This window comes from Homo sapiens, chromosome 12, assembly GCF_000001405.40.
Source record: "Homo sapiens chromosome 12, GRCh38.p14 Primary Assembly".
Classification (NCBI taxonomy): Eukaryota; Metazoa; Chordata; class Mammalia; order Primates; family Hominidae; genus Homo; species Homo sapiens.
In genome coordinates this window covers 129549608-129563499 of record NC_000012.12, presented here as the reverse complement: position 1 = coordinate 129563499, position 13892 = coordinate 129549608, and the positions used below count along the sequence as shown (strand labels likewise).

Sequence of the window (13892 nt, the reverse complement as noted above, 5' to 3'; positions counted from 1 at the left end):
TCCGTGTGTCTAAGCATGTCTTCCCACTCTCCCCTCTTAGAAAGATTAAGAAGGAGATCAAAGAAAGAGGGCTGGGAAAAGATATCCATCTATATCCTCAGCTATGCACAGGTGCACACATACCCAAAACTAAGAGCACTGAGGATCAAAAATACATAAAAGAACAAACTAAAGCTGTATGCCTTCTAAAACAGCAGAAATTTATGTCACTGTGTCCCTTGAACAAGATCTTGAAGGTTTTATGAAAATGGACAAGAGAAGACGGAATAATATGTTTAAACATTACTTTGGAGAGTTTTATCTTGCAGTTATTCTCTACTGCCTACTTTTAGCATTCCAGATGTATGTTTGGAATAGACCAAAGCACCCCTGGCCTCAAAAAAAATTAAATGCAAATGTGATGATTTTATCAGCATACTTGTTGATCACGTAGTACACACAAGGCCAGGGCTATCTTGATGAAAAGTATACAGATAAAGGCGCTTGCTGTTTCCTGTGATAAATTAGGCCTTGCTTATATCAATTACAGCACAAGATGGTAGGTGCCGTAATAGAATTATCTACAGAGTTCTACTGGAGTACAGGGGATGCTTATCTGATTTGGTCAAAGCAGATTAAATCAGAGAAGTCTTCCCAAGAGGACTTTCTGTAAACCGGGTCTTAAAGGAAGCACGGGGTTTCTCCAGGTGGAACGAAGGTTGGGAGGATATTCTACACCCAGGAATAGCATGAGCAAGGGCCCTTTAACATGCATAGAGGGCATGGGTGATTTGGGGAGTGGCAGGGAGAACAGTGGTTAAGTTCTTGCACACACAGTCTTAGTTGATCCTGTTGTTTGGGCTAAGCAAGTTCTTACCATTTCCCGTATTAGAAAATTGAGGTTCAGAGACATTATGATCCAAGGAGAAAGAGCTGGTAAATGCCAGATCTCTAGATCTTGAGTCTGGGTCTTCCTTCTGTAAGAGTACAGATATTTATACCCTTCTATGAGGTTCCAGAATCCATGCAGTGACTCAGGGCTTGTTCACAACCTCCCTGATTGAATCTGTTCTCTGTTGACAGGTTATCTACCTGTAAAATGATCTGTTTAATAACCTGATGTGAAGGAAAAATGCTTGCTAGTAGGGAATGGCGTTCGAGCTGGGTAACTTGGTCTGCAGCAACACTCTGGTCTTCACTAAGAGTAGAGTGTGCCTCAAATCCATTACAATCTACTATGGAATAATCTGCAAATACATTGCCACTTTTCAAACACATGAACCCAGATATGACCTGGATCTGGTGAAATGATGAAAATCCACTGAGATGGATTATCCACACTCAAATACCTGGGATTTTGGAAAAATCCTTGTTTAGCTGAAGCCCAAGTCCTTCATGAATTTTATGAATTAATTAATCAATACATAGTATATTCTATACAAAATTTCAGTGTTTCACTGTAAAATGTTCCTCAAGAAGGTTTTTAGAAAATACAACAGTCATTAAAATAAAGTGGCATTTCTATTTCTGGAGGTAAGTCCACTTAAACGCTCTGAATTAATTTGCACAGAAACTTTTCACCTTCCTTCAGTTCAAACGGATACTGTCCAAAGAGTCTGACTCTAACTCACAGCAGCAACAATTCATAAGCTGAGCCTTAACTGGTCTTCTGCCCTTTTGATAATTAAATTTATTTCTGAAAACCTCCTGAGATTTATATTCTTAATATCTCAATTTGGATGAGGGCTGATTTCTTATCTGGACAGAATGTTTCCCTTTCTGAAATGTTAATTGGGCAGAGAACCCAGAGATAAACAAATTGATTTAATTTTAATCTTCTTTCATGGTGATGCATAATGATAACTGGTTTCTGTCTCATAGGGTTGAAAACCTCAGCCCTTAATAAGAGTTTGTGGGTATATTATGCAGCTTTAAATAGCTTATGTTGTGCTAGACTGCTCTCCATAAATTATTCTAACTCCAGCACTATCTCGGGGAGTCCCAATTCTTGTCTGCTGTGGATTTTCAATCAGTGAAACTATTAGTGTGACATGAAGAAACTCTGAGCCCTCTGCTATGAAGAACAGCTGAGATTCCATGCCTAGCGTTCCATGAATGAAATTAGTTCTGGAGAACATACATTGGTCTCTGTTGCCAAGTGAAAAGCAGTGCTTGCTGTCAGGGAGGATTCAAAACCTAGGCTCCCATGCAAGGCATTTGAAGGATCTATGCATAGCTCTCATATTGGTTGGATGAGTGGTTCAGACTGTTTATCCCAAGTTAGGGATAGTTAGTCTGGTTAGACTCAGGATGATAAGGTCATAGACTCTTACAGACATGTTTTTACGTTCCACCTTAAGTATCATCTCTCAGAGAGGCATTCCCTGAATCTCGCAAACCAAATTAAGTCCCCAATTTTCTTTCTCATGGCACCTTTAACTTTTCCTTCCTTCCTTCATTGCACTCTCCATTATCTGTCATCCAGTAATTATCTGTTTAATGCCTGTCTCCCTGCAGTCTGTTGCCACCATTCACTAATATCTACTGGGCAGAGAAGTAGTTCATACTTCTCCATCACTGTGAAGCTAGAAATTCTCATATAATTTTCTCTAAGGAAGGAAAAATAAATGTGAAAGTGACGCGTGGCTTACAGGGAGACACAAGTAGAACTAACATGAAAGTTTCATCTTCTCCAATGGAGGTGTCTGGCAGCATTCCCGGTGGCAGAGCCACTCTTGACTCTCCCTGAAGAAGGTTGTCACCCACCCTTGGTGAGCAAGTACCTGAATGGGAGATAAACTTTTGTTGTTTGTTTTATAGGTGGTATTTGTTACCACAGCATAAGCTACCTTCACCTGCCTAATTTATTCCTACCTGGGTGTTAAGCTCTTTGAGAGTATGAACCAGGACTAGTTTGTCTTCTTGTATATCTCTAGCAATTAACAAGTGCTGGCCGGGCGCAGTGGCTCATGCCTGTAATCCTAGCACTTTGGGAGGCTGAGGCGGGTGGATCATTTGAGGTCAGGAGTTCAAGACCAGCATGGCCAACATGGTGAAACCCTGTCTTTAATAAAAATACAAAAAAATTAGCTGGGTGGTAGTGGTGCACACCTGTGATCCCAGCTACTCGGGAGGCTGAGGCAGGAGCGCTTGAGCCTGGGAAGTGGAGGTTGTGGTGAGCCGAGATCGTGCCACTGCACTCCAGCCTGGGTGACAGAGTGAGACCCTGTCTGAAAAAAAAAAAAAAAAAGAAAACAAAAGCAAAAAAACTACAACAAAAAACAAGTGTCAGACACAAAGAAGATGCATGTTGAATGTTAAGTGTTTTCAAAGAAGATGTACATTAAGACCCCTGGATGTCTTGCTTGGTGCCCACCTATGAAGAGTTGAGCCCACTCCTAGAAATCTACATATTGCCACACACTTTATGTGGTTGCCCATAGAGCTGTCAGCGTTACACTTTTCACATTGAATTAAAATATGCTTCCTTTAACATTCATACATTGTTCTGGCCTCAACAGCTGTTGGTTTTCCATCCAAACCCTCCTTACCCTGAACAGTACTCTTTTCACTGGAGGCCAGCAGCTGTATTCCACGTGCATGCTATCCTGTTTTCCCAGGGGGTTTTCTCCATGAACATGTTCCTTGGATGGTTGGATTTAGATTAGATTCACACGACAGAAAGCAAGGGTATGCTTGTGATTTTTACATCGATAAATATTGTAAAGAAATTGAAGTATATTAAGGCAGGCTTAATATTAAAGATTCTATCAAGTTGACTTTTTGAGGGGATTGTATTCCAGCATAGAGCCCAAGGTAGAAGGACTTTTAATAAACACTTCTGATTCAGGAAGCAAGAAGAATTCTAGGTTACATCATGACATCTATGTTAGATGAAGAGGAATGAAATTAAAATAGAGATTTACCATTTATGCTCTTAGATGGTAATAACTTATGAAACCTCTCACACACGTAAAATATTACATGTGCGTAAGACTCACAGGCTTTTGTACCTGCTGGAAAAAATAACCAGCGTCTTCCCATTTGTGTGGGCGAGTTGTGCTGTGATTGTTCATCTACGAGACCTCTCGTCTCCTTTTAGACCCCTGAGGAAATTTGCTAATTGCAGAGGTCTTAAATTGGGCTACGTGTATACCTGTTGCTATGCAAAACCATTCAAAGGATATATGGATGTAAATAGTTTCAAGAGTATCTGTTTTCTGAGTTCTCTACTTCTGTGTATTCTCTTTCCTAAAATTGATCTGCCTAAGAAAAATACCTAGAGTTAAAGAACTCAGCTCCACATTTGCCTTTGTACCTACTTTATAAATAAAGCCATTTTGTCACTTATCTAGGTGGATTGTGTTGGGTTGTAAAACCTTATGGGCTGACAGCCCTGTAAGACATTTAGGGATGCTGATGTCTTTGAGAAAGTGGATTACTCTAATGGTCTTTGAGAAAGTGGATTACTCTAATGACTGGATATCAACTCCTTTGGCATCCATGTAATTTCTGATTCTTTGCATTCAACAAAGTAGGAGGAGAATGTGTTCATATTGTCAGATCTTGAAATATCACTCTTGATGACGGATTACTGTACAGTTTTTGTCGTAGGAGTTCCAATAATTGAGTGCCATTACTATGACAAAGTACACTCCATTCAGTGTTTCTCAGGACAACATTTATAACATTGAAATGTAGGGATTGAGTTGAGGCTATGCTGTCTTGCTCTTGGAGTAAATGCAACGCTTCTCCAGTCCATGGACCCGTCTCCTTAGGGGAGAATGCCTCAGCACTAGAACATCAGTTATCAGTCATTGACACTCCCTTTACATTCTCTTCTGCATTTCAGAAGAGCACGCTTCACCTGACTTTCCCAGATTCCCTTTTCCCGTGTGGTCCTGGGTTACGGTCTGCCAATGAGAGGCATGAGGTTTTGGAAGGTAGACAGAAAGTCACTGTGTCCTGTGGCTTCACAGAGATTGCTCACGTTCCCAGCAGCTTAGGAGCCCACGCTCGAAATCACCCACTGAGCTGATCTAGTCGCCTGTAGCCCCCTGATCCTTACCCCTTGCTTGCCAGTGGTTTCTAATTCCTCATTTTAAACACTCTCTAATTGAAATATTCTAAAGCTGCTTTAGTTTTTCTGTCCAGATGAAACCCATAGGAATGGGACCCTTCCCTGACCACATGAAGTAGGCTGTGGTCACATGACTTGCTTTGGCCCAAACGATGTGTGTCACTTCCATGTAGAAGCATTTCTGAGCCAGAATGTGATCTTTCATGCTGTCTCTTCATTTGGTCAGGAAATTCCAAAGCAATGTGTAGTGAGGGCAACATCCGTCCTAAGATGGGTTCCATCAGCCTGGATTCTTGCCTGTCCCTATAAACATCAAATTTGAGCAAGTGATACATCTTTGTTAAGCCAGCAAGAGTTGGGGTTGTTACTTCAGCATATACACCACCCTGACTATGTAACCCCATTCCTGATAGCACTCATTTCTGATAAATGGTTCACTGTATTATGTTGAGTAATTGCTCTTTAAAATATATAGTTTATTTTACTGTCTTTTTGCTTATGTGTATACTGAATATAATTAAAAGGAAATCTCAATGTAGAACTTTATGTATTTTAAAATATTTAGTTGACAAATACAGATTGTACCTATCCAGGGTATACAATGTAATGATTTGATATATGCGTATGTTGTATAATCATTGTCACAATCAGATTTACCCATCCATCAGCCCCATGCTCAATGTCAGAACCATCACTTGTCCATGCTTTTGTTTTGTTTTGTTTTTGAGTCAAGGTCTTGCTCTGTTTCTCAGGCTGGAGTGCAATGGTGTGATCACAGCTCACTGCAACCTCCATCTCCAAGGCTCAGGCAGTCCTCCTGTCTCAGCCTCCCAAGTAGCTGGGACTACAAGCATGCCTTACCACACCTGGCTAATTTTCTGATTTTTTTGTAGAGACAGGGCTTCCCTGTGTTGCCCAGGCTAGTCTTGAACTCCTGGACTCCAGTGATTTTCCTGCTTTAGCTTCCCAAGTTGTTGGGATTACAGGTGTGAGCCATGGCACCCGGCCATAACTTGTTCATCTTATAACTGAAAGTTTGTACCTCTTCACCCCTTAAACACGTCTCCTCATTTCTCTCATTTCCCACACCCTGGCAGTCACCATTATACTGTCTGTATTTATGAGTGAACATTTAGAGCCTATAAGCACAGATAAAAAATAAATTTGAATCTATATGCATATTTTTACTGCTGAGAAGTATGACAGAGTAATCAATAAAAGATATTTGAACGTAAAAATAGAACACATTAGAGCAAAATTCTGTGGCATAAGTAAAATAAAAATGGAAGCTAAAAAAAGTAAACCGCTATAAAACTTAACTCTGATAAGGAAGAGGTTGTCTATATATTTCTTTAAAAGTGAATAATGGTGGGTATCAAATCACCATGGTATTTAGATTCCAGTGAACACTTTTAAAAGAAGGATATAACAGTTTAATTTTAAAATGTCAATAGTTACAATATACTGAAAATTTCAACCTTTGCAGCTTAGGAGGGAAAATTTTAAATGTCAACTTTAAAATGTGCCTGGGGATACAAAGTTTTGTCAAAATTATTCTGGAGCATTTCTCTCCAATAGAATTTTCTGTGGTGATGGCAGTGTTCTCTAACTTCACCGTCTAATATGGGAACCCCCATCCACATGTGGCTGTGAGTTCTTAAAGTGATGCTGCGCAGCTGAGGAGCTGAATTTACTTCATTTTATTTTAACTAATTGAAATTTAAATAGATTTCCATTATCAGGGGCTATCGTTTTGGACATTGGATTTCCCAGATGTATGCAAATAAGGTAACTAGGTTATTGGACTACCAGGTATAAAAAAGCTCCAAGTAAAATTGCAAAGTTATTTCTATTCACTGCTTTAAAAGGAAGGCAACCTATTATATTAGTATTTGAGGTTTTTTCTACCATTTTCGGTCACCACTGAGACAACCCTCTGCTTCTCACTAAAACACCTCTGGGGGAAAAAAAAAAGCTCCACCCCATTGCCAGGGGAAGACATGATAAGAACCAGTGTTCTGGCGAGAGACATGCTAGGATTTGCGCTCAGCTTGGACCCATGGAGCAGAGTCTTCGGGACCTGCCTCTGCTCGGTGCCGATCCAGGTGTCAGGTGGGCAGGTGTTGGCAGGGGTGGTGGCAGAGGCAGAAACAGCACCTTTTTTTCTAATGTTGGTGCACAGACAGCTGCTGGGTGAGACGAGCAGCGGTGGAATGTTTGTGTTAGAGAATGAAACAGAACAGAGCATGACTGTTCTTCCCAAAGCCTTGCACCTGCCTCGGGACTGACTTAAGCAACCTTGATACTCGTGTAGTGAAGGCAAAGGGAGTGTGGAGCACCCTGTGGCCTGTTCCATGCTTTGCGTTGGTGTCTAGTTCATGTACATTCATGACAGAAAACTGGCATTTTCATGGAAAAACCATAAGTCGGAACACATAAATCCCGTGTAACCCATCACCCAAGAATGTCAAATTTGATGTGTATGTCCAGCTTTCTCATACATTTCTATATTTGCACCTAAATTATCTACAGAGAGAGACACAGACAATGAAAGCCATATTGTCAGAAAATCTTTGTACTTAAATATTAGGTTGATGCAAAAGCAATTACGGTTTTCTCCAAGAAAAGTAGTGGCAAAAACCACAACTACTTTTGCACCAACTAATATATATAATCAATGAGTGTTTTCTTTATTTTTATTTTTTGTTTTTTATTGTATTTGGGTTATAAAAGGATATGTGGTGAATTAGCAGAGTCCCATTAAGAACTTTAAAAGGCCTGGACATTGATGGGCATGTCACACTTATCTTTCCCTGACAATTAGTTTGAAATACCAACAACAAAATATGATCTGCAAAATAAGTTTTAGAAGGTCCAAAAACATTTTTCTTCTTCTGATGACTTTCGAATGTCATTTTATACATGAAACTCTTCGAAATAAATGTATGGTTGCTTCCCTAGCTATTTTAACATGTATGGTTAATAAGGCCGACATTTTTTTCTGCTTTTGAGGTAATCCAACTCTGCTCAAGCAGGGTCATCCCAGGGTAATTCTGTTTCTGTAGACCCAACTTTCATCCCACCTTAGGCTTGTTCCGTGAAAGGTACTGCCTGAAACAGACTTACTTTTTCATTGGGGTATTCTCGAATTCAAGTCTGTTCTGTTGTAGGCTAAGTACATTTCCATGCATTCAACACCGGTGTTATGGAGCAAGCTGTATGTGAATACCATCGGGCTGTTGAGTACTAATAAAAAGGAGACTAAATTCTGTGCAATCAGCTTCCTTTTCCAACGTGGAAATGAAGGCATTGCAATCAATTTAGCAATGTGCTACAATCCTATTATTGTCATTGTTTTCACTGACAGCCTAAGCATTGGCAGGATATTTGGTGTCTTGGAAGGACAGAGAGATGCTAAAATAGCTGGGGAGAATATGTTCTTTGGAGGGCTGGAGGTTTTAGGCCACAGTAGGGCTAGAAGAGAGAATTATGCAAGCGACTGGAACTCCATGAAAAACAGGGAGAAGTCACCAAAGGAGACCAGGCCGTCAGCATTTCAGAAACATTTTGTGGCCTGATGAAGGAGAATCTGATCTAGTTGGAGTCCACCTCTTTGAGAAGTTGTAGGAAGCTGGACTCAAGTCTGACCCACCTGGTGCTCCTAAGCCTTTGGCCTCCCTCCTGCAGCATCTGATGTGATTCCCCATGAAAGCAGGTCTCCAGGTTTATCTTCCCAATAAAGGAAAGTCACTGGCGGAAAATATCCAGTTCAACAAGTGGTCCCATGTTATAGGTCTCTGTGTAAGAGGTGACAGTAGAGAGAAGGTGGTTATAGGTGGACAAGATTCAGAAGAGAGGGTTGTCTAAAGAAGGAAGAAAATCACATGGCTGTTCATGAACATAAAGTACTGTACCATGAGGCCTCATGGAACCCACAGTAAGCAACTGTGATGCCCTCAGGAATCAAGGGTCACCTTTTTCTTTCTCTCTCAGTGTCTCTGCTGCACGCTTCTCTCTCTCGACCACCTTTCTCTTCCACTTGCAGATGGCTGTCCATCCTAGGCCATGCTTGCATGAATTTTCCATATTGAAACCCAGCACCACCTGGCATCGTTACTTAGTGCCTTGTGGTTCAAATTACTGGGAGAAACAAATCTGATTAAACATTTTGAGCTGTCATCACAGTCCACAGGCCACCAGCCAGATGAGAAAGGGCAGTCCTCAGATGAGGTCTCTGACCCTGGCTTGGTGTGGCCAAAGAGTGGTGTGATGATGCAGTGTGAGCCGTGAGCACCACTGTTTTAAGGAATAGAAACTGTGGAAGGGACATAATCACACAGGGGGGAGTATGGAGAAGACAGGAATTCCGACATATACCTAGTTGAGGAGAAACTGGGACTATATCTAGAATTTTGAGGAAAGACCGATTAGATAGTGTTGATTAAAGGATAATCAAAGATTTGTGGAGAGACCCGGAAAGAAAGCTTGGAGAGTTTCCTTTGAGATGGGCCCTGGCTTTTGGACATACGCAAAGCATGGGAAGTGACATTTCTCCCATGGAGTCCACTTGCGTTAACTTACTTAGGGGTTGAGGATCCTCATGGGCAAAGAATCTGAGTTGTGTCTGTGATCATGAGGAAACATAAATAGCATGACCAGGGAACTGGAAAATGGAAGAGGACTGCGGAATAGACGGGCTTTCTAGAGTGATAAATTTAGAGATGAAAGGAAGATGAGTGCTTGTGGTGTGCTGGAGCTTGGGGGAGCCCAATTTGTGCATCTCTTCCCAATGACACATTCAATGCTGTCATGTTGGGAGCTTGAAAACAGTCATGGTGGGAACATTTACACCATGGAAATGGGCAGGTGTTACAAATCAGGCTGGTATCCACGCTCCCTCTCCCTGCCAGCTGCAAAACATTTTCCATCCCACCACTGAGTCAGCCTCATTGCCTGAAGGCACAGACGTACAGTGTTTCCAAGTGACAACGTGGTAGTTTCTCCTTGAGTCTTTCCTAAAAGAGTGCCTATCATGGGGTAAATGTTACATATGGAAGCCATGGACCTGTCAGTGCACAGACACGCACAGAGCAGAGAGTGAGGGGGCAGGGGAAAGGCGAGCCTGACAGCAGCAGCACAGGTGCAAAGTCTCGTAGCCCCAGGATGGACTCACGCAGCCAGGGACCACGGGCCACTGTGGCAGAGTGAAGAGCTGGGCATCGGGGCAGCAGTGGTGAGAGCGACCAGCAGGGAGCCTGACTGATGAGCCACAAGCAGTGACTCAGACACAGCTGGGAGCAAACGCGCAACACTCTCGGAGTCTCAAAAGGGGAAGAGCCTGGCCTTGAAAGGTTGAGTAACCGAAGCTGCTCCGGTGGATGCTGTCAGACCAGCAAGGCTGGGGCTCGGATGGTGGCGTGACCTTTCTTGTCCCCAGAGACTCGGACTTGGGGCATCCATGTTGTAGTTGTTGGATCTGGACCGTGGATGACCTTAAATGCCAGGATCAAAAGGTGACACTTTATACTTGGAGAACAGTGAGTCACTAGCTATGACTGATCGATAAATAGATAGGTAGATGATAGATAATATAAATAGATAATAGATAATGGATATAAACCGGTAGATAGATGCTAGATAGATACGTAATAGGTAGGTACGTAGCTAGATAGATGCTAGGTAGATAGGTAAATGACAGATAATAGAGATGATAATGTAGATAGATAATAGGTAATGGATGTAAACAGATAAATACTAGGTGGATAGATATCAGGCAAGTAGGTAGATAGATGCTATGTAGATAGGTAGATGACAGATAAATAATAGATGATAAATAATAGATAGAAAATAGATAATGGATGTGAACAGATAGATGATAGATCGATCGATAGATAATAGGTAGGTAGTTAGATGCTAGGTAGATGGGTAGATGACAGATAATAGATGATAATGTAGAGAGATAATAGATAATGAATATAAACAGATGCTAGGTAGGTAGGTAGATGGATAGATGCTAGGTAGATAGGTAGATGATAGATGTATAGGTAGATAATAGATAATGGATATAAACAGATAGATGTTAGGTATATAGATAATAAGTAGATAGGTAGCCAGATATATAGATAATGGATTGATGATAGATAATAGACATAAATGCATAGGTAGACAATATGTTAGATTTTAATATGGAAGAAAACAGTTACAAAGTTACTTTCTTGTTGCAAACTCAATCCTTCAATTGCTGATCTACATACAGTGTATTTAAATGGTTTGACTTGGAGTTGTCCTGATAGCACATGGATATACCTCCCTCATTTCTTTGTGATATTTCTTCCTGAACACAACTTATTCATTTACTCTCAGGCCCAACACTAGTACTTTTTCCTGATTTTGTAGGAAGGAATTTAGAGCAAGAGAGACCCTTCCCTCGCCTATGTATAAGGACTTTCTGGTCAGAAGAGGACTCAACTTCATTTCTGCCCATATATGCTACTTGTCATATTCCCAGTGATATATCCCTCACCCCAACCAAAATATCAGAGGGTGTTGAGTTCTCTTTATTCTCTTTATTTTTAATATCAGGGGATGATAATCAAACTATTAAAATCTGTGGTTACTCAGGCATTAGCACTTTGGACCCTTGGTGAATTCTAAGGGCAGAAGCAGAGGTTCCCAACTCTATGACCTTCAGTGAGACAGGCAGGTAATACAATGAAATGAATTAGGCAGGGCGTGTAGAAGAGAGAGGTTTGTGTTTGGAGGTGCTCCATGAATCGTGGGAGCTGGCACAGATGGAAGAAATCAGGCACTGTTTAAAGGTGGCAGCCCCAACTGATTGGCGCTATACTAAAGTAGATAGGTCAAGTGTTATTGTGTTATGTTCCAAGACAAGCCAAAAATCTGGATTTTTTTAAAGCAAATGTCTTAATTTTAAATTATTGGCTCAGATGATCAAAATGGAGTAAAATTACATTAGGGACAATATTTGTAGGACACATTCAACCCCTGAGCTGCTATTTAATGACTCCCAAGAGAGAGACATGCCTTCCTAAGCCCAGCCTGGCCTCTGTGCAGACCCAGGGCAGGCAGGCAATGATTTTCCAGTTTCACTTCAGAACACTGTTGTTCCACTTTTGCTCGCTGCATAGCAAAGCACACAAACTTAATGCTCTAAACAACCACCATTTTCTTATGCTCCTGGATTCCGTGGGTCAGGAACTTGGAAGGACAAAAGTTAGTAGATGCCTCTACTCCACAATGGCTGGGGCCTCAGCCAGGAAGTCTTGGAGGAGCTGGCAGATCCCTGAAGCTTGGGATCCTGTGAAGGCCCACTCCAAACATGTGCAATGGTTGAGGCTGGCTCTTGCCTGGGACCCCCGTTGGGGTTTCAGACTGGTTCATGGCACTACTTTGTGGTGGGGCTTCCTCACAATATGGTGGCCTTGAGCTTCTTAAGTGGTGGCTTTGAGCTCCAAGTATCACAAGAGGATGGTGGAGGCTGATCTTCCTCTCATAACAGAACTCACAGCCTCATAGTGTGACTTCTATCTCAGGCACAAGCTTTCCTCCTCCTCCTGCCTGTTGGGAGGAAGGGTGCTAGGGTTAGGAGGTATATACTGTTGTGGTCATCTCTGGAAATACAATCTGCCATATCTGCTGAACACCAAGTGGACTGAAGTAGTGAGAGGAAAGCTGAGTGGAGATTTAAACTGATCAATTAGAAGGTACAAGCTGTCCCTTCTTGTTTATCAAAGTGTCTGTCTTCACCTCCCCTGGTGTTCTTTGTAGTTTACAACCAGTTTAGCACTTAGCTTTCACCCAGTGTCATTACTGCAGACTGGTAATGGCTGTGAAATGGTTGCTTAAGTGTTGTACAGAGTGGAACACCTGGCTTCTGACAAATCACCGCATTAGAGCATGTGGGCTGCTAAGTGCCAAGATGCAATGTCAACAAAGGAGCGGCCCAGGAGTGGGCTGCCAAGCATTGTGCTTGGGAGTCAATCAAGAGGCTGGGAAATACGGAAGAAAGAACCATTTCAGAGGGGCAATCAGAGAGGGGGAACATAGTGATTAATCCCTTGTTAGACAAATCCCATTTTACAGTTGTAAAGGCAGAGGAATTAATCCTCATCTTTAGTTCCTGAAGTTAGAAAATCCATAAGTTGCTCTTTCAGGGTTTTTTAGTGTAAAAATATAGAAAAAAAAATACCAGTATGGAATAATTATTAGCTTTGTCAAAAATAAGATGTGCCCTCTGCCTTTTCATCCAGTGCTTGCTGTAGAATCTGGAAAATTATCTCTGTTCTACTCTATTAATCTTTCTCATGACAACCAGGTCAATTTGTCTCTTATATAATCAGAGCTGGGTAAACATCCACATATTCTTATTCCAGCTTTTAGTTTGTATGTTTATATCCTAACAGGAAAGAGAGCCAGAGAAGGTTTTCCTAAGACACAGTTTATCCAGGTTAGGCCTCAGTAACAAGCAACCTGAAGACCTTCGTGTTTTGAGGCCGACAATGTTTACTTCCCTCACACATTACAGACTTGCCGAGGTCTTGCTTAGATTGTCCTCAGCAAGGGCATGAGCTAACAGAGCAGGCACCTCTGAGAACATTTACGGTCACAAGGGGTAAAGGAAAAGATGACATAACAAAGCTTTATTCCTTCTAGCTTCCACCAAAGGTGACAAACAGGCCTTCAGCTCACAGTTCATTGGCCAAACACGTGACTATGCCCAAAGTCAAAGGGAGTAGGGAAGTGTATTTGTCCATTCTCATGCTGCTGATAAAGACATACCTGCGACTGGGTAATTTATAAAGAAAAAGAGGTT

General features: G+C 41.6%; 1 protein-coding gene across 1 annotated transcript in view, besides 1 other annotated feature; it reads left to right on the top strand.

Moving 5' to 3' along the window:
- Positions 1-13892, top strand: part of TMEM132D (transmembrane protein 132D) — an 832300-nt gene that overhangs the window by 340526 nt on the left and 477882 nt on the right. The window lies entirely within an intron of this gene.
- Positions 9769-10268: an enhancer, noted in NCBI's record as "H3K4me1 hESC enhancer chr12:130037777-130038276 (GRCh37/hg19 assembly coordinates)". NCBI's record gives its function as "activates a minimal SCP1, AML or CMV promoter by ChIP-STARR-seq in naive H9 embryonic stem cells {active_cell/tissue: H9 hESC(naive)}" and the evidence as "EXISTENCE:reporter gene assay evidence [ECO:0000049][PMID:30033119]".